At 42.7% G+C, this 21,267-nt stretch overlaps 1 protein-coding gene across 9 annotated transcripts in view, besides 2 other annotated features; it reads left to right on the top strand.

Moving 5' to 3' along the window:
- Positions 1-21,267, top strand: part of IL5RA (interleukin 5 receptor subunit alpha) — a 44,051-nt gene that overhangs the window by 13,093 nt on the left and 9,691 nt on the right. For 5 of the 9 annotated variants that reach the window (NM_001243099.2, NM_175726.4, XM_011533677.2 and 2 more), the window contains 3 exons: positions 1,838-1,983; positions 4,920-5,058; positions 20,655-20,751. In NM_001243099.2, the coding sequence (NP_001230028.1) occupies positions 1,838-1,983; positions 4,920-5,058; positions 20,655-20,751 (382 nt within the window). Of the gene's footprint in view, positions 1-1,837; positions 1,984-4,919; positions 5,473-7,025; positions 7,106-20,654; positions 20,752-21,267 lie in introns of those variants that run through there. The other 4 variants (NM_175728.3, NM_175725.3, NM_175727.2 and 1 more) reach the window with 2 other exon arrangements.
- Positions 8,031-8,200: a silencer, noted in NCBI's record as "silent region_14007". NCBI's record gives its function as "represses an Ori minimal core promoter by ATAC-STARR-seq in GM12878 lymphoblastoid cells {active_cell/tissue: GM12878}" and the evidence as "EXISTENCE:reporter gene assay evidence [ECO:0000049][PMID:35858748]".
- Positions 15,080-15,169: an enhancer, noted in NCBI's record as "active region_19342". NCBI's record gives its function as "activates an Ori minimal core promoter by ATAC-STARR-seq in GM12878 lymphoblastoid cells {active_cell/tissue: GM12878}" and the evidence as "EXISTENCE:reporter gene assay evidence [ECO:0000049][PMID:35858748]".

The raw sequence follows: 21,267 nt of genomic DNA, 5'->3' as shown, positions 1-21,267 counted from the left end.
TCTCACTGTTCTGGCCCATCTCCTGGATGTTCTGCAGCTCGAATATCTCTCAGTGTGCAATTCTCAGCTCTAAAAATTCTATTCGTGGTTTTGTCTGCTCAGTTCTCAATAGAGAAGACACTCTCCCTCATCCCAGATAGTTCTATTAGTGAAACTCATCAGGCGCTCTCACATGGCATTCTTAGTTATGGAGATTCCAGATTTCAATGGTGGGTGGTTATTATGGGCTGTGGGGCCAGACTGCCTGGATTTGGATCCTGGCTCCACCACTGGCTGAGTGACCTTGGACAAGCTGATCATTCCTTTGTGCCTAATCTTCTTATCTGAAACAATGGAGAGGAATCAATACTTCCTGTGCAGTCTTCGTGAGAATTGTGTTACTAATGATAAAGCACTTAGAACAGTGCCTGGCATAAAGGTTTAATAAATACACTACAATATTATTTAGAAGGTATGATTTGGCTGTGACATATCTATATCCAATGGAATATAACTTTGTGTAAAGAATCATAGCCCTTACTAAAGAGGTTATGCAATTCTCTCCAGTAATATATTTCTTAGGTGAACTAAAAATGTCACTTTCATGAAAATAGGCAATAAAAGATGCCGAGGAAGACCTAGGAAACAATGATATTAATATGAAAATGGATATGATCTAGTACAGACCACAGGAATTCATTTTTCTTTTATGATTTTCATTTTATTGAGGCTGATTCCTAGGATTACTAAAATAAATAAGTACTTTCTTGGTTAAGAATTTTCTTCATAGGGTATAGGAGGCTCTGAAGCCAGTGGATCCCACTCCTAGCTTTTCCCTATTAATTGTGAGATCTAAGTCATATTACCTAAGACAAGGACACTCATTAAGAATTCATTTCCCCTCACCTCACCGGACCATAAGACAATCAAGTGAGATCTCAAGGGAAAGGACATTAGAGTCCTAAGTAAAGACAAATTTAGCCCAATCCACTCTTCTTCTTCTTCTTCTTCTTTTTTTTTTTTTGAGACAGATTTCTTGCTCTGTCACCCAGGTTGGAGTGCAGTGGCGCGATCTCGGCTCACTGCAAGCTCCGCCTGCTGGGTTCACGCCATTCTCCTGCCTCAGCCTCCTGAGTAGCTGGGACTACAGGCGCCCACCACCACGCTCAGCTAATTTTTTGTATTTTTAGTAGAGAGGGGGTTTCACCACGTTAGCCAGGATGGTTTCGATCTCCTGACCTCGTGATCCACCCGCCTCGGCCTCCCAAAGTGCTGGGATTACAGGCGTGAGCCCCCACGCCCTGCCCCAATCCATTCTTTTTGATGCAAAAGAAAACTGAAGCTTCCTGCTCCAGCCCCCAAACAAACAAAAACCAAAAGACGCAGTAAACAAAATGAAATTAAAATTAAAAACTGAATCTCAGAAAGGGGAAGTGATTTGTTCAGGGCCACATACCTACTGGGAAGAGGCAAGGCTTGGTGGAAGGTCCAGGGAAATGTTCTCTCAGTGGTCAGGTTTATTCTGGGCCTGGTACAACTTGAGTAGTAAAGGGGGATGGTGGGTGAGTCTTGCAATGAGCTGAGGGGGGGAAGTAATTCAAGCATTCAACTCTATTTGGAGTAGTAATCCTTGTAGTTTCCAGAAAGGGTCTCTTCTTCTTCAGCACTATAAGACAAGAGTATTATGGGAGGCCACCGGCTTCCTGTGGCTTGGAGATCAGTTGATTAAGACCTGATGGTAAATATTTGAAAAAAGCGTATCTTAGAAATGCCTTGAGAAGTGTGGGTGGATTGGAATTATCAGCTTTGATCACTGATTCTAAAAAAAAAATCACTGATCTTTCGTTCCCTAACTTAGATCAAATAAATCCTCCACTGAATGTCACAGCAGAGATTGAAGGAACTCGTCTCTCTATCCAATGGGAGAAACCAGTGTCTGCTTTTCCAATCCATTGCTTTGATTATGAAGTAAAAATACACAATACAAGGAATGGATATTTGCAGGTAATTACTCAGATTATTCCAATATTTGATAACAGACATTTGTTTTAGAAACATTTAAAAAATTATCTTCAGTGACTGCAACCAAGTTACAGCTTGGTACTAACAAGGTCAAAGTTAACTTAATCTACCCAGGTATTATAGATATAACCAAATAGATATAAACCAAATCTTACTGGCCTTTTGTTTTGAAAGAACATACTTTTGGTTGAAACTAATACAAAGGATTAGATACAGACTCATTGGTACTAGTGCTGGTTAAAATCTAAAATGATAGACGGGTGGGGTGACTCACGCCTGTAATCCTAGCACTTTGGGAGGCCAATGTGGGTGGATCACCTGAGACCAGGAGTTCAAGACCAGCCTGGCCAACATGGTGAAACCCCATCTCTACTAAAAATACAAAAATCAGCCAACGTGATGGCGCGTGACTATAATCCCAGCTACTCGGGGGCAGGGGCTGAGGCAGGAGAATCACTTCAACCAGGGAGGCGGAGGTTGCAGTAAGCTGAGATGGCGCCACTGCACTCCAGCCTGGGTGACAGAGCAACATTTCATCTAAAAAAACAAAAACAAAAAAACAAAAAACTAAAATAATGCAGCTACTATAAAAACGATATGATGAATTCTCAAAAAATTAGAAATAGAATTCCCATACGATCCAACAATTCCACTGCTGATTACATATACAAAAGAATCGAAAGCAAGGATTCAAAGAGATGTTTGTACACCCATGTCCATAGCAGCATTATTCACAATAGCCAAAAGCTGGAAGCAACCCAAGTGCCCATTAAATGAATGGATAAGCAAAATGCAGCATATACATATAATAGGATATTATCCAGCATTAAAAGGAAGGAGATTCTGACACATGCTACCACATGGAGGAGCCTTGAGGACATTATGCTAAGCAAAATAAGTCAGTCACGAAAGGACAAATACTGTCTGATTCTACTTTTATGAGGTTAAATAGTCAAACTCATAGAAACAGGGTAGGATGGTGGTTACCAGGAATTGGTAGGAGGGTGGAAGGAGAGGTATTGTTTAATGGGTACAGAGTTCCAGTTTTGCAAGATTAAAAGAGTGTTGAACATTGGTGACACAACAATGTGAAACTATTTAATATCACAAAGCTGTACACTTAAAAAGGATTAAGATGGTAAATTTCATTATATGTATTTTACAATTAAAAAAACTCATTAGCACTAATAGACAAAAATTTCAAGGGGAAAGGAACTGAGAAGAAAGCCAATCAACATTTCTTGAGCATCAATTATGTGTCAAGCTTTATTATGTGTTTATTCCATCCTCACATAATTCTATGATGTAATTACCATTCCCATTTTATAGGAAAGTGAGGCAAAAGAGATGAAGTAACTCTCCCACAGTCACAAAGCTAGGAAAAAAAATAGGATTCCAACTTATGTCTTACAGAGAGTAGACAAAGCCAATTCAATTAGATTCAACAAATATTTACAAATTGGCTTCTTTGTGAGAAATAAGACTGTTTCTGCCATGGAGTGACCCAATCTTGTGACATACTTGCCCAGCCTTGGGGTTGCCCTCCCACAGGAAAAGCCAGTACAGCTAGAGATGGGGGTGTGGGCACAGAGCCTGCTCTGCAGAGAGGAATTGAACGGAATCTGTAAGGATGAAGAGAAACTAGTCTGGTGAGAAAACATGAGAAGGACTTTCTTAGCCAGAGCTTCCCAAAATACTTACACTGAAGGACTGTGTGTGCACGTGTGTGTGCGTGTGTTTTTATAATGTCTAATCTACCATAGATTGGTGCTTTTGTCAAATACAATAAAAATGATCTGCTAGAAAAAATTAAATATAGCCAAAGACATGTAAAGTGTCAGTTCACTGATCATGTGTTTGGATATCATGGCAATGTCAAATTGCTATCAAAACTTCCAAATTGCAGTCATAATTTTATCTGTATTTAGCCCATCACAAGCCAGTAATAAATAGTTCCTGACTTGCACCAGCCTAGGAAAAGGAGTAACTTTATGCTTGAGAGAGTATGGTTCTTTCAGTCAAGTGGCAAGTAATTCAGTCTGCCTGGATGCCTGGACATAAGACCAATGCTGAAATCATGACTCTGTATCTGACATTGTGATTTCTCCCAGAGTGGCTCTATAAGATTTTGCTAAAAAATAAAGAAGTGGCTTCTTTTTTAAAAACCATGACTCTGGGCAATGGATGCCACTGAAGAGTTTTACACAATAGAGAAATATGTCTACATTTGCAGAGTAAAAGAAGATTTTTGGTAGCAGCATGAAAACTGGATGTGAGTGGGGAGGGGCGACATGGACATATGATATCAGTTAGCGGCTACTGCAAAGGTCCAAGCAAAAGATAATAAGAGCTAAAATAGGCAATGGTCACAGGGCTGGAGTAAAAAAGGGAGAAACACCTCCGGGGGTATTCAAGATACAGGTGTCAGGAGCACATCTCTGGTACAGGGGACTAGCTGGATGGTGGCGACCATGATCAGTAGAAGGAAAAAGAAGAAGGGCTCATTCATGAGAAAATAGCTTCATTTCAACACTAGACAATCTAGCGTTCATGTGACATTATTTAGTAATGTGACTATAGATTATGGAGAGACAAGGTGAGGGAATAATGCATTCTAGCATAGGCCACTCCAGTCTTTCAGTCTGGAAACATCAGCTGGGCCTGGATAGGAACACCTGGATCTTGACCGTTGATCATTTCGTATATTTTGGTTACAAGATAGCGTTCCACTGAAGGGTGACTGCCAACACATCCACACTAACGCACCTAGCATAAACGAATTAATGTGTGCCCTGTTGATTTTAAAGGACTTGCTGAACAGTGAGTCACATGACCTATATAGGACCTCCCATTCTGATAATCGGCAGAACTAAATTAGGTGTCTAGAGATTCTTCTAATGCTATCTTTCCCCACTTAGATAGAAAAATTGATGACCAATGCATTCATCTCAATAATTGATGATCTTTCTAAGTACGATGTTCAAGTGAGAGCAGCAGTGAGCTCCATGTGCAGAGAGGCAGGGCTCTGGAGTGAGTGGAGCCAACCTATTTATGTGGGTAAGTAGCTTATGTTTATTTTACATTGGCAGCCTTCCTTGTGATCAAAAAAGGTAATCCCAGAAACGTACCCGTTCACTCGTGGGTCTTAAAATGGTTTCATATCTCTATTGTGACTAATTTTCTCTCGGTCTACTGCCTTTTCAATCAGGAATAGATTTGCCATGAAGCCAGTGAAGTTTTTAAGTGTCTAGGCTTCTCATTAGCGCCAACTCTCCTAGACCTGGTGCCTGTTTTTTTTCCAAGTTTTGTTTCTACTTCTATCCATTTTTTAAATTAAACTTTTTATTTTGAAATAATTATCACACTCACAAGCTGTGGGAAGAAATAATAGAGATCCTGTGTCTCTTTCATCCAGTTTTCCTCAAGGGTAACATCTTACAAAACTATAGTACAATAGTGGAATAGAATATTGGTGTTGGTAATCCAGATCTTACTGATTTCATCAATTTTATATGTCCTCATTTGTTTGTTTGTTTTTTTGTTTCTTTTTGGACAGAGTCTTGCTCTGTCGCCCTGGCTGGAGTGCAGTGGCGCCATCTCAGCTTACTGCAACCTCTGCCTCCTGGGTTCGAGCGATTCTCCTGTCTCAGCCTCCCGTGTAGCTGGGACTGCAGGCACATGCCACCACGCCTGGCTAATTTTTGTATTTTTAGTAGAGACAGGGTTTCACCACGTTGGTCAGGCTGGTCTCGAACTCCTGACTTCAGGTGATCCACCGGCCTCAGCCTCCCAAAGTGCTGGGATTACAGGCATGAGCCGCTGTGCCGAGCCATATGTCCTCATTTGTATGTGTCTGTTTGGTTCTATGCAATTTTAGCACATGTTTAAGTTCATGTACCCATCACCACAGTCAAGATACAGAGCAGTTGCATCATCACTTGTTACACTTTTATAAATACACCCATCTCTCTCTCCTCTCTTCTATCCCTGAACTCTGGCAACGAGTAGTCTGTTCTCCATCTCTTCGATTTTCCCATACCTAATTTTGACTTTATACTTTTTTAAAAAAAGAAGATTCCAAAACTGTGTAATCTATAGGGTCCCACAAAATCTGGATCTGTCCCTGAGCCTTCAGCCTAGCAGATATAGAGTATAAAGAGGTCCATGCATCACCGGGACTCCTGTGTTAGCTCTGCAACTGTTTATGTTACGATCAAATGGACTAGTTTGCTTGGCAAGTAAGATGGGCATCGTCTCTGTCAGTGAGATCCATGAAGGATAATAATATACCCAATGGCAGCTATGGATGAAGGGGCACATTTCCAGTCTTACCCTGACACAGATGTCAATTCCACACCCAGGACATGTGGTATTGCACCTTGAAGATAGAAAATTCATACCCTGTGTTGGCCGGGCGTGGTGGCTCACTCCTGTAATCCCAGCACTTTGGGAGGCCGAGATGGGCAGATCACGAGGTCAGGAGATCGAGACCATCCTCGGTAACATGGTGAAACCCTGTCTCTACTAAAAAATACAACAACAAAAAATTAGCCGGGCGTGGTGGCGGGCGCCTGTAGTCCCAGCTACTCGGGAGGCTGAGGCAGGAGAATGGCGTGAACCCGGGAGGCGGAGCTTGCAGTGAGCCGAGATCGCACCACTGCACTCCAGCCCGGGCAATAGAGTGAGACTCCATCTCAAAAAAAAAAAAAAGAAAGAAAAGAAAAAAAAAAAAAAGAAAATTCAAACCCTGTGTTTGCTATTATCCAGGTGTTTCCGGCAAGTCAACATAGGCATTGTATGAGAGAAGGAAACAGTTAAAAAGCAACTAGTGCGTCTCATGTGTATGATAAACCATTCAGCCTGGGGAGGCACACACACGTCGTTAACTGTTGCACTAGGTCTATAAGAGCATGGGATGGTGGGAAGAAGACTGGAGCCTTACATAGAAAGCCCAGGTTTAACATTCAGCCTTTACAAGGATTGATTGTGTATCCCCAGACAAATAATTTCTCTCTGTTTCCTAGGGTTCTCAAGATAAAGGAGATAACATCCAGCTTTCCTGCCCCACACCGTATCTGAAATAAAAACAACAGCAGGGATAGCAGATTACATGTGTTTTTTAATTTTTATTTATTTTGCCAAGCACTATGCTAAATACATAATCTTAGTCCTATCAAAAAACTTGTTTGGAAAGTTTAGGTAATTGGCTTAACTCTGTTCTGCATGGCCAACAAGTGGCAGGGATGGGGCTCTAACCCCAGATTAACTGACTCTAGCACTTGATCTCTGGACACTCTGGCATGGTGGGACAGGATTCTGCAAGCTTTAAAGTGCTGGGTAGATTAAAGTCTTATTTAAGAGATCTTGGGGATGGGTGCGGTGGCTCACACCAGTAATCCCAGCACTTTGGGAGGCCGAGGTGGGCAGATCAGGAGATCGACACCATCCTGGCTAACATGGTGAAACTTGTCTCTACTAAAAATACAAAAAATTAGCTGGGCGTGGTGGTGCGCGCCTGTAGTCCCAGCTACTCGGGAGGCAGGAGAATCACTTGAACCCAGGAGGCAGAGGTTGCAGTGAGCCAAGATTGCGCCACTGTACTCCAGCCTGGGCGACATCTCAAAAAAAAAAAAAGACATCTTGGTAGCCAACCTTTGTGATTATGGGTGATCAAGCATGTGGATGCCATCTCTCATGAATCCTATGAGGTATTCATCAACCATTGGAAGAGTATACATAGGAGAGATTTAGTTCAGGCACATGCCAAAATGTTCTACTATTTAATTCATTCGCTTAAGCTATGGGGTAGGTCTTCAGGAAAGTCTCGGGCAGTGACCCATCAGCCCATGTGAAAATGACTCCGATCTGACACACAGCAGGTAGATTTCCACTGAAGACTGGGAAAGATAAGGAAAGGCCTAATAAATGGAGAACTGTTCTGAATCTGCCAGGGGGCTGGTCGTGCTAAGTTACCGAGTTCCCAAGGGAGAATAGCGTCCCCTAAAGTTGTGCAACACACAACCAGCTCAGCCTTACAGGGGTAGCCCTCACATCACTCAGAGAGACTTACAGGAGCAGCATGAGCCTTCCTGGGGAGAGGGAACTGAAAGGACACTAAAAGGAAGTGAGAATGGGCTAAACTCACCTGCTTCATAATTCTGTTGAGACCAATCTTCCCCTCCCTCCCCTCCTCCCTAGGTTGATGCCCCCACCTAACTAAACTGACCCAGCACACACAGGACTTTCCTCGACATGGCTCCATTTGCACCAGGAAAATTCACTCTGTTCCCCAGGAGGGAAACAAATACGAGAAGCATTAATCAGTCTCAGGGAATTTTTAACAAGGTCATTAATTTTGTCAAATGCCTAAGGTGGAAGTTTAATTTTTGTTACTTGAATTCAATAGACTTCTTTTTAAAAATGCTTTATGTTACTCCCCAGGGGCACAAAACTCACTGGCTCAAAACTATTGCTATTTCTAAGTGTCTTCCCAACACCTCTCTCTATATGTATTCAATTTTGGAGATTTTAAAATGCTGTCTAAGGAAACTTAAACCAAGATGATGGATACCAAGGTCAGAATCCTAGATAAGAAGTTAGTTATGCTTTCTGAGTCTTTGACTTTTGAAGTCATAGTCAATGTTGACTGTAGAGAATTTAGAACGTATTAGGTGAAAAAGAAGCACTAGATATTCAGGACATCTAGGTTTTTAGCTACGGCTCTGCCAACATCTAGCTCTATGTTATAAGCTAGAGATGACAAAAGGTAATGTTTTGTGAGCAAAGTAATCAGAGACTGCTTAGAGTGCAGCATTGAGGATTCTGAGGCTAAATTTAGATTGTCAGAAGGAATCGTGATCTCCTGCCACCACTGCAAGGGACAGAGTGGTGACGAGCATGACAGGGTTTTTCCACCCTGGCCTAGTCAGTCTACACCTAACCTCTCTGGGCTTAGCATCCTCACCTGTAAAATATAAGTGCTGCACTACAAACCTGCTTCCACCTCTGCCATTCACATTCACCTCCTCTGCACCACCCCACTGCAAAAGTGCTGAGAGTGAAATTGTGATCCATAACGAGCGCTTATTTTAAGCTTGTTTTTAATTTATTATTCACTCTCCACTTTAGAGCTCTCTTACCATTATTATTTCCTAAATAACACCTTCCTAGTTTGAATCTGGGCTCATTATAGTTTTCCCCCAGGTGTACCTCGTTGCCATTATCTATAGCAAATCCCATTTCATTTACTGCCATCCTTTTCATGAAGATGAGCTGATTAATATTACTACTCACCTTATAAATCCATCCTTTCTGGAATTTACTCCTCTGCTCAGTTTAGGATCATTAGTGAATTTAATCAATGTAGACTTTCCATTTTCATCAAGATGATTAATAAACGTAATAGGAAGTCCAAGCCCCTCTGGGACATTTTGCATGGCTCTTTTTTATCCCTTGAGGATGCAGCAATAATTATACTCAGCTAGGAGTCCATCAGGCGATTTTGCTGCTACATTCATTTCCTTTAACTATGCTTTCTCCTCTTTTGCCTTATCTTAAAAACAGCATGCTGTAGCCCTCCCACTCCATTTTACTCCAAGACTCAACTCAAATATCAACCCTTTCATAGTTATTAATTTCCCCCCCATTATTTTAATGTAAGAAAATGGAGGTCCTGAGATACTAAATGACTCAGCAGTTGTCAAACAGCCAAGAAGTGGCTATTAATATACAATTTTCTCAAATAGATGACATATGAGCCAATCAGTGAATTAGAATAGATTTGATTAACTAATTAACCCATTATAGCCCAAGGTTATTTAATTTAAAAAATGAGACACAGAGTAAGTTTTGATTGATGAGATAAGGTGAGCTGGGAGAGGCTGGGGGTGCTGTCCAGCTCTGTTGGTAAGGTCCCTGGCCAGCCAAGGAGCACAGGGGACAGCAGGGAGGGGGTATAGTTAGCAAGTGAGTGCTCTTTGCTTGCTCTGAACAGTGCCTGATTGGCTCTCCTGTCCTAGAATTTCCAGAGCATGGAATTTTTTAAATTAAAAACAATTGTTTTATTTCAGCAGCTTTAGGGGTACAAGTGGTTTTTGGTTACATGGATGAATTGCATAGTGGTTAAGTCTGGGCTTTTATTGTACCCATCAGCTAAATAGTTTACATCATACTGAATAGGTGACTTTTCATCCCCCATGCTCCTCCCACCCTCTCCCCTTCTGCGTCTTCAATGTTCATTATACCACTCTGTATGCCTCTGTGTACCCAAAGCTTAGCTCCCATTTATAAGTGAGAACATATGGTATTTGGTTTTTTGTTCCTGATTACTTTCCTTAGGGTAATGGCCTCCAATTCCATCCAAGTTGCTGCAAAAGACATTATTGCATTCTTTTTGTACAGCTGAGTAGTATTTCATTGTGTATGTTTACCACATTTTCTTTATCCACTCATCGGTTGATAGGTACTTAGGTGGATTCCATATCTTTGCAATTGTGAATGGTGCTGTGATAAACATGCACGTTAGGTGTCTTTTTGATATAGTGACTTCTCCTTTGGAAGATTTCTCAAAAAACTAAATGAGGCCTACAATTTGATTCAGAATTTTTTTTTAAGAGATGAGGGGTCTCACTATGTTGCCCAGGCTGGTCTCGAACTCCTGGGCTCAGGCAATCCTCCTGCCTTAGCCTCCTGAGTAGCTGGGACTATAGCTGGGCTGGGATTTTTTTTTTTATGGAAGTAGCAGTTTCATTTTATCAGTACTCGTTATCACCTGCCCTAGATCAGCTGGCTTCTCTGTCTTATCTTAAGAGCTAACTTCCCAATTTTTACATGTCTTTCTCCTTTTTAAACTTTCTTAACTTCCGGATTCTTCTGTTCCTTTGTTATCTTTGCTGTCTCCTGTTTATCGAAACCTTTTGTTTCCTGACCCTGGTCTTCATGAAGCTGTGTGTTTTCTCAAGTCCATCATCTTCTCTTCTTCCCGCCATCCATGAAGCTCAAATGCCAAGTGTGAAACGAGGAATGATGAAAATAAATTTTTCCATAGTCATATCCTTGCTTGAGGAAAAGAGACTTATGTGGGTCTACCCTGCACTTATTTCTGGCCGTGTCTTTGGTCAGGATCAGTGGTTCTGAGAACTGCTTCTTCTGTGACAGACTACAATCACTGCAATTGCCCTTCAAAGAAACGATGGAGTTTTGCTTTGACCTCACTGAAAGCAAAATTTGATGGCCCAAATTTGACTTTCGTTAGTCTTGAGATGTATGGCACCTACACCCAGGGGAGTAGAAGACTCAGCACCGTTTTCAGATCACTCATTCATGAGGTCACAGCAATTTTCAGATCACTCATTCATGAGGTCACAGCAGACAGGGGCACAGCAGACAGCTCCTTAAACATAGAGATGTGTTGTTCATAGGAAATCTTGGCCTTTGCTTTCCTGTCGGAGTTTGAGCTGGTGGAGTGGGGGTCTCAGAGTCCCGTGACACATCCTAGAATCTGTTAGGACTTAAGGAAAATGGGTTGAGGTAGGGTATCAGGGTGGCCTATGGCAATATGGGCTGGAAGGAAGGCCACCCCAGAGAAACTCCTGTGCCTTTTTCTTTTGACTTGATATTCATGGGCTGATGTGTGAGGTGACTTGGTACCTTTGTCCTGGGCACCTGGAATCAAAAACTGAAGTCACCTTTGGGACCATCAAATGCATCTTCATTTTCCAGTTTGCCTGCATTGTGCCAAGGTCCCGCAGCTCCAACCTGATTCCTTGCACTCTGACTCCCACCTGGAGCTCTAATCCCTTCTCTCTGTCTCTCCTGATCCCGTCACTCTCCTTCAGCAGCTTTTTCTTGTTAAATTCTCACACTGTGGCAAAACACGAAGGAAGATGAAAGGGAAATGTTGTAGGAGGGTCCACATGAGCTATCCCTAGGCCTTCCAAAATAATCTTGCAAAACTCTTTTGAGGTTACAGATGGGAGCCACTGGGTCTACACAGTAGCAGAAATTGCTTAAAAGTAACAAGAGTTGACCCAATAACAACATGAAAGACCCACTTAGGCTTACCTAAGACTAACACAGCTTATTGTGGTTCTGCTTTCCCTGTGTAGACAGATGGCTTGGTCACACTGCTTCCTTTTGTCCAGGCTGGTTAGATCCCACCTGGCAGCCCCACCATTTGTTCCCACCAGGGGGGGCGGACTGCCTCACGCCTGTGGTCATCCCACTAGCCTGAAGGAGGCCTAACAGGGACCTTTCAGATTTCATCTCCAAATGCCAGGAGCAGGGAGTTCCCACAGTGCTTTCAGGCGCAGCCACCTCTATTGGTGCCTACATCACCCTTCTAGGCATACATTCTGCCTCATGGAGGGATGGCAGCTTGTGGGAGGGAGGGATGCTGTCAGGGGGCCAGCCCCTGTGCAGGACATATTCATCTACATCATCTTTTATCATCACACACATGATTTCCTAATCACACAGGTGAGAAAACAGATGCAGAGAGGTGAAGGAACTGCTGGAAGCTACACAGATAGTAGGTGGGACATCCGGGTTTGGAACACAGCTAGAGGATTGGCTCCACACCTGGGTTCTTTTCGAGATGTTCCATTGCCCCGGGGGCTATTACTCCAGCCAGGGAAACTGAGGCTGGAGGATGGGCCACACTCAGCAAGAGGGGCTGGGGGCTGTGCAAGCAGGAAGCTCTGCCAGCTCTTGACCCTGTCAGCCTCCATCCAGACAAGCCATTGGGAATGAAGTTAGCCTCTTCAGGCCATTCTTGTCTAAATGTTCCTGTCCAAGTTCTTCATAAGATTCATCTTAATGAACATTTTGAACCCTAAATCCTTGAAGGGTAGGAATACCCATACCCTTTTCTGTTCCTCAGTATCTAGAATATTTGGTGTGTGTTTATTTCTCCTGGCCTGAGTTTATCTCTCTGCATTTTTAGAATTCTGATAGCACTCCAATTTTGGCCTTGCTTTGATGAAAGGGAAATTATCTTGATGAATTTGTTGACACAATGCATTTCATCCTAATCGTAATTATAGTAAGTAATATTTATTGAGCACCTGTGTACCAGCACTGTGCTAAGCACTTCACATGTGTTAATTCATTCGATCCTTATCCCTGTTTTATAATGCAGGACATAGAAGCTGGAGAGGCTACCCTGCCGAAGGTCACTTTGGTAGCAAGTGGCAGAACCAGGACTAAACCTTTTTTTTTTTTTTTTTTTATGAGATGGAGTCTCACTCTCTCACCCAGGCTGGAGGGCAGTCACACAATGATCTCAGCTCACTGCACCCTCCACCTCCCATGGGGGTTCAAGCAATTTTCCTGCCTCAGCCACCGGAGTAGCTGGAATTACTCATGCCACCCCGCCTGGCTAATTTTGTATCTTTAGTAGAGACAGCATTTTCACCATGTTGGCCAGGCTGATCTTGAACTCGTGACCTCAAGTGATCCACCCACCTTGGCCTCCCAAAGTGCTGGGATTGCAGGCCTGAGCCACCACACTTGGTCTAGGACTAACCCTCTTTATCCCTTGTTGCTTACTTCTATGTGATGACTACATCCTCTGCAGCCAGCTTTCATCTGCTTTAGCAGGTTGATAAAATAGGCCCAGCAACCCCTTATAGGGAAGAAAGTTCTGGGTTGCTTGGGGGGCTCCAGAAGGTACATAGCCCTTGGTGCTTTGTGGGAAAGCCTGCAGAGAAGAAAACTGCCATGAGGAATTCCCCACTCAACTTCATCAAGTCTAGTCCTACTGGGGGATATTGCAGACAAGCAGTACTGCAGTGAGCCATCCAGCTGATCCTGAATGCACACACAAATACACGCATGCACACAAATACACACACGTACACAAATACACAGTCTCCATTTCCTCTCTCTATTCGGTTAATGCAAGCCCAGTTCCACCAGATGAACATAGTGCAAGCTGTGTGTGTGATCCGGGTCCTTCACTACTCTACACATTTTGTTCACTGAGGCTGCATTTTGCTGCCCTCTTTTTATTTCTCTAAACCAGGTACCTCCCACAGTCCATTTGACAGCTGCCTTGAAAGCTCACTCACCCAAAAGGTCTGCTCCTGACTTGCCTGCACTGGAAGCCTGTGATCTGGTTTGGGATGTTCATTCATGAATGATGCCATTCTCCCCTCCAACTGGAGGCAAGTCACAGGAAGCTAGTTAAACCCTGTATCATAGACTGCCATATTGACATCCTCTCAATTATCCAACCCTGTTGGTGCCATTTGAACTTCTCCCAGCACCTGCTGGCTCTAAAAACACAGCAGGCCTGCTCTGTTGGAAGCATCCCATCAATTTACTAATTAGCTCTTTTCCCTGGAAACCTATTGTTGAGTCTGAAATCAGATTCAAAATCAATATGTAAGCACTGAAAGTTCATACTTACATGCAGAATTTAAGGTGTAACAGGCTTCCAAATCAAATTCATCTCCTAAGAGCTAGTAGTCTAAACTTCATACATCATAGAATTCTAGATCAAGAGAGACTGCAGCCCTAAAAGGGAAGTGGCTTGACAAAGCTCCCAGAGGCAGAGCTGGGACTAGTTTGGGTCCAATACTTGCAGTCCTTCTGCCCTCTGTGTTGCCACTGTCCCAGCCCACCTGCACCCCATGTCCCACTCCATATACATTCTAGGGTCATAGAAGAATAGCAGACTATTGGCTTATTTGCAAGGTCAAATGCTTAAGATGTCAAAAATAATGGAAACTGAGGTCCCCAGACACCAGACAACTGAATTTCCCAAATGCTTTACGTTAGTGATGCCTAAAAAGCACCCAGGAATCAAATGGGGAGTCTGGAGAGCTTCTCCTCCTTACAAGAATAGGCTGTGTGACTTCTTCTTTCTGAAACCCATCTTTGCATAACCAAATGGCAGTGCCCATTGATTTCTTGAAAAGAAACATCTGTGACTTCCTTTTTAATGGCAAGAAAGGTATTCTCCTTGAGTCAGAGCAGAGAGTCAAATTACCTCGAAATACTTTTTTTTTAATCTCCAAGGTTGGAGACCCCAGAATTCAAATTAAGACTATACTACGGGATCTCCCAAATTTTATAGTATTGAAATTCTTAATCATTTTGACCCAAAGAATGTATACTCTCAGTGGGATCTTCCCTCCTTGCTCTACTTTCAGTAAAACCAGAGCAGGTGCTTACTTTAATTCACTAATGTACTGGCATTTTTTTTTGCATAAATAAGTAACTGAACAGTAGATAATCCACAAGTAATGTCTACTTCGCAATAGGTATGTGAAATCTTTTGCTTGCACAAAATTTTCCTGCCAATTTATGTTTTCTTCAAGGAAAAGCCGACCTTGGTTGTGTTTTCAGGGGTTAGTTCTGTTTTCAACTAGCTATAGGGGAGTAGCCCTAATGCATTTGGGGCAACTGGAGAGGCCAGGCCAGGAGAAATGACTAATGTGCCACCTCCCTCCCGGCAGTGACCGTGACTTTGCTTCTCACGTAGTACCTTGTATGCATCAATAACTTTTTTTCATTTAATGAAATAAAATCAGGGTTGCCTCTATATTTTTGCTAATTCAGTGAGAATCTTCGCTTATCAAAGTGAGGGCTGAAGTGAATAACTTGAGAGTGGTTTAACTGAAAAGATTTTTGTAATCATGGTCAGAAGAAAACGGTACTGTTATCAAAACTTGCCATATCAGGCTAGGGGATATTGCACAAGTTGAGACCCAAATGTGACTGACAGTGTGACCCTGATAATTATTTACAACACTGCCCCTTCTTTCTGCAGGACCCACACTTTTTCTGTTGGTTTAACCTAGTTATAAACAGGATAACTTTTTTTCTGCTGATGTACCACTTGCTGAATTTGCATCCGGTGTCTATAAACCTGCAGTTTCTGAATGTGGTTGTCAGAATACTTGCATAATGGTTACGAGCATGGAATAGTTTCAGAGATGGGGCCATGAAGCAGGCTGAATTCCTTACTCAGGAAATCGACTGGGAAATAAAGTAAGACGGTATTTGATTTGCTGTTATTAGTTTGTCCCAGCTACTCTTTACATTAACTAAGAAAGAATGCAATAAAAATGAAGTCTAACAGAGCCCTCAGTTCCAATCCAGAGAACGGAGTATTAATCCTGGAACCATCGAGGATCTGTAGGATTTAGGAAGACAAAAGCTTTGCCACTTTGAGGGTCTGTTTTCCATTATTTAACAAAATGTGGCTAATGCCTTTTTGTAAAACAATAGACATAAGTATATTTCAAAAAAAAACTTGAAAAAAAATACTATAGCCATAGGGCTAGGCACAGTTGGTCACGCTTGTAATCTCAGCACTTTGGGAGGCCAAAGTGGGAGAATTGCCTGAGTTTAGGAGTTTGAGACCAGCCTGGGCAACATACTGAGGCCCCATCTCTACAAAAGATTTTAAAAATTAGCTAGGCATGGTGATGCGTGCCTGTGGTCCCAGCTACTTCGGAGGCTAAGGCGAGAGGATTGCTTGAACCCAGGAGTTAGAATCTGCAGGGAGCTATGATCATGCCACTGCACTCCAGCCTGGGTGATACAGCAAGACTCTATCTCATATAAATAAATAAATAGTATAGCCATAGGTTTTTAATAAAGGGCTTCAGTCCCACCTAGAGTTTGGGGAATGTCAGGAGAAACGGTAGTTTGCAAAGCAGCCACCTTTAATTAGAGAAGCTGCCTGCACACTTAGCCTTATCAGAAACGGGGATACAAACAATAGAACAGGGCTTCCCACAGTGAAGCACAGAGAGCTATAGGGATCATGCTCAGGAGAGTTCTCAATGAAAAGCAATGCTTAAAATAAGTGAAGCGAAGCTCCTATGTATTCAGTGTGCCCTCAGTTTTGCAGAGGGAGGGAGGGGAATGGGATTCCTACATCAAGGCTAAGAGCACGGACTGGTTGGGCTTCCGCACTTCCTAGCTGTGTGGCCTGGGCTGACTTACTCTGTCCTTTTCTGCCTCAGTTCCTCCATCTGTACAGTGAGAATAATAGTGTCCATCTCAAAGCATCGCTGTAAGAATTAAATCGAGAAAGTACGTGAAGCACTTTACACAGTATCTGAGCACCTAGAAGCACTCAGAAAAAGCGAATGCAAAAATATGTATAGAAAATAAGCTCTTAGTTACTTCCAGTGACTACTGATTTTTCTTTTTTCTTTTTTATACTTTATAAACTTTTAAAGTTCCAGCAGCAAAAAGGCACTACTTTTGTTTTCTTTTCTTTTCTTTTTTTTCGAGACAGTGTCTTGCTGTGTAGCCCAGGCTGGAGTGCAGTTGCGTGATGGGCTCACTGCAGCCTCTGCCTCCTAGGTTCAAGGGATCCTCCTGCCTCAGCCTCCCTAGTAGCTGGGATGACAGCCATGCGGCACCACACCTGGATAATTTTTATATTTTTAGAAGAGATGGGCTTTCACCATGTTGGCCAGGCTGGTCTCAAACGCCTGACCTCAAGTGATCTGCCTGTGGGCCTCCCAAAGTGCTGGGATTACAGGCATGAGCTAACACACCCGGCCCAAAAAGGCACTGCTTTTCTAAAACCAATTTTATTAAAGGTATGTGTACATGAAGTGACAGTACCCTCAACTGAGTGAGTGGTGCTAGAAAAGGTGCTGGCTGGGGAAGGATCTATGGATTATATATTTCAACTGCCATGTGTTTAGATGAGGAAACCGAGGCCCAGAATGACCACCTTCACAGCAAGCTGAGACTACAAGCCAGGTTTCCAGAATAGGCAGGGATGAAAGCACTGGACAAAGCCTGCCTGTCCGGCACTAATCACTGGGTACGCAGTGACGACATGAACCAAGGGAATGAGGAGAAGGGACAGCGGCTGTAAAGGATGGAAAGAGTCAAAGTGACTTCGAGGCTTCAGGTCTGGGGGCTTGGAAGAATGGAGACTGAAATGGGCAGTTAGTGAGAGAAGGGGTTTTTATATGAAGAAGAACATGCGTTTGGTTTTGAATGTTGTCAGCCTTGAGAAACATCCGAGCAGGTTTTACCTACGGACAGTTTAAGATCCAGGCCTGGAGCTGAGTGTCAGGCAGGACCAGGAATAAAAACCTGGGAAAAGACTTCATAAAATTAAAAGATGAAGTGGTATAAACAAACTTTTCAAAGTTCAAAGAATAGGCCACAGTGGAAAATAGCAAAGGGTCAAAGGATGAGTGGAGAGGGCCAATCGAAATTAAAATGGGGAGAAGGGCCATCTAAGAAGAGATATGGGCAATAAAGCTGAGGACTCGGTTTCAAGGTGGGCTCAACTATACACAGTCTGAAATTCAGGAAGGAGGTCAGTAAAAATAAAGCTGGAAAAAGAAACCAAGCGTCTTTTGAATTAGACTAGGAGGAAGTCACTGTGATTAAAAAAGCAGTGTTAGAGCTGGGAAATGAAGCAGCCCGAATCCCTTAAATAATTTTTTTTTTTTTTTTTTTGAGACGGAGTCTCGCTCTTGTCACCCAGGCTGGAGTGCAGTGGCGGGATCTCAGCTCACCACAACCTCCACTTCCCAGGTTCAAGCAATTGTCCTGCCTCAGCCTCCTGAGTAGCTGGGACTACAAGCATGAGCCAGCATGCCCTGCTAATTTTTATATTTTTAGTAGAGATGGGGTTTTGCCATGTTGGCCAGGCTGATCTTGAACTCCTGACCTCAAGTGATCCACCCGCCTCAGCCTCCCAAAGTGCTGGGATTACAGGCGTGAGCCACCGCACCTAGCCCTTATTCAAGAATTTAGACTGGGAAATAAAGTAAGAAGGTATTTGATGACAGTGGAGAGAGATGGCAAAGCAGGGTCATGGCTTATTCAAGATGAAGGACTCTATGAATATTTGAAAGCAGAAGGGAAGAGATGAAGAAGGAGATTAAAACTTTCGGGAGGTAGAAGATAAAGCTTGGATAAGGGTCCTCAGGAGGCAAAAAAGCAAGAGAACAAGGCAAGGCTGGAATCACTAGCATTATATCCCAAGGTATCTCTCCTTCCTGTCACTTGAATGATTTGAGTTTTAATTATTTTGGAAGTCTTAGGCTATTAACAAGGACCTGAAAATTCCACTTATGTATTTCTTCTTTTCTAGAGGAAGCAGTTCATGGCAAACTGAGCATGGTAACCTTTTCTCCTGGTGCGGTGTGGTTGAAATCTCACCACAGTATTTAGCACGCTCGTCATTAAATCACTGCTTGTGTTGCTATTTGCTGAGTGTGATTCTTTCCTAATGGACTCCATGACAGGAGCACCCATATGTGATCTTTCGACCACTGAATCCCAGTAATTTGTACAGTTCCAAACATATAATAGGAGCCCAGTAAATATTAGTTAAATGGATGAATAAAGGAATTAATGAATGAGCAGCCTCTCCCACGGAAAGGAAACTCATATTCAGGGAGATGACACAGGATTTACATTATTCAATCCGGCAGGTTAGCAAGCACATAACCTCTTTAAACACTATTTGGTAAATGGTCTTGAGTTTTTCTTTTCTTTTTTTGCAGGGGGGCTGGTGGGGGACAGAGTCTCATTCTGTCCCCCAGACTGGAGTGCAGTGGTGCAATCTCGGCTCACTGCAACCCCTGCTGCCTGTGTTCAAGCGATTTTGTGCCTCGGCCTCCCAAGTAGCTGAGATTACAGGTGCCTGCCACCACGCCTGGCTAATATTTGTATTTTTAGTAGAGATGGGATTTCACCATGGTGGCCAGGCTGGTTTCAAACTCCTGGCCTCAAATGACCCACCTGCCTCAGCCTCCCAAAGTGCTTGGATTTACAGGCGTGAGCCACTGCACTTGGCTTGAGTTTGTCTTGGACGCCTTTCTAGTACTTAAAAGAAAAATTACACACCCCAAAGCTATCATAGAAGTTCCTAGAAGAGTTAATGGGTGCAGCACACCAACACGGCACGTTTATACATATGTAACAAACCTGCACGTTGTGCACATGTACCCTAAAACTTAAAGTATAATAATAAAAAAAAGAAGTTCCTAGAAGAATCTGTCCCTTAAATGTAGATTCAAAGCAAATTTAAACAGAGAATAAGTGGCATACAAAATACTGACTTTCTGTACTGACTTAATGGCAGTTTTATTCCTTTCATGTCTGTAAAATGGGAATAATGGTAAGGGGTGCTTTGAAGATATTTAAGATTGAAAAGCACTTGGAGTCTGATGCCTTTATTGTTCACTACAAGTATTATCTCATACTTTACTTCCTCCAAAAGTTTAATTTCCAACTTTGTATTTTGATTGTGATGCCATTGGGTTACTCAATAGGCTTATCTTTTTGTGGATTTTCTATCTAAAAACCTTACTACGTACCAAAAACAGATAAGCTCCAAGATCCAAGTGGCACAGTACATGGAATGAATGCCATAAATATTTGCTGATTGATTGAATAAATCATTCTTTAAGAATAAAAGTGGCCTCACTGCCATCATTTCATCTCACCCTATATCAACTTTGTGAGATGGCTGTTACCCTTCTTTTACAGATGAGAAATCTTAGGCTCAGGGAAGTTAAGCTACTTGCCCAACACCACCCAGCACCGGCAACTCAAACCTGAGCTGTCTGATGACCCAAGCCTCATCATTTCTTTTACCTGCTGCTTCTAACTTGGACTTTATATTTTTTTGTTTCTTTTTTGTTTTCCACCAGGAAATGATGAACACAAGCCCTTGAGAGAGTGGTTTGTCATTGTGATTATGGCAACCATCTGCTTCATCTTGTTAATTCTCTCGCTTATCTGTAAAATGTAAGTGTTCTTTACATTTGCGTGCTTGCAGTGGGGTTTCAGTACTGCATTTTTACAGGCTTACCATGCATCCGGTAGGCAGAGGGTTCTTATTATCAGGTAAAATTTGTGGCATTTTTGTGCCTAGATGACCTGTCCAAGATGAGTGTAGGCCAAATCAAAAGTGGAAATGTCCAGAGGTGATTTACAGAAGTTGGACAGAGCACACAATGCAGCCCTCAGCTATCACTCACTCCTACCTGAAGTTGTCGACAGCTTTTAATTTCTGTGAAGGTTTCTACTTGCGGGTTTCTTTTGATTCCTTCTCAGTCTTCCACTCGGTCCTTGGCTGTCTAGGGTAAGCTGCCAGTATAGGCTTTTCACAGCTCAGGGAGGCTAAAATCACCACAATGCCTGCATGTCATCATCCTCAGCTATCAAGTCACCAGGCCCCTGAGTGGCTGATGGTTATTAGGTCAAACACGGATTCTAGAAATCGCATGTGGATCTGGTATCCTATCCTAGAGTCCACAAATG

The sequence above is a fragment of the Homo sapiens genome, chromosome 3 (assembly GCF_000001405.40).
Source record: "Homo sapiens chromosome 3, GRCh38.p14 Primary Assembly".
NCBI classification, from domain to species: domain Eukaryota; kingdom Metazoa; phylum Chordata; class Mammalia; order Primates; family Hominidae; genus Homo; species Homo sapiens.
Note: the sequence above shows the minus strand (reverse complement) of the source record. Positions and strands in the feature narration are given on the sequence as shown.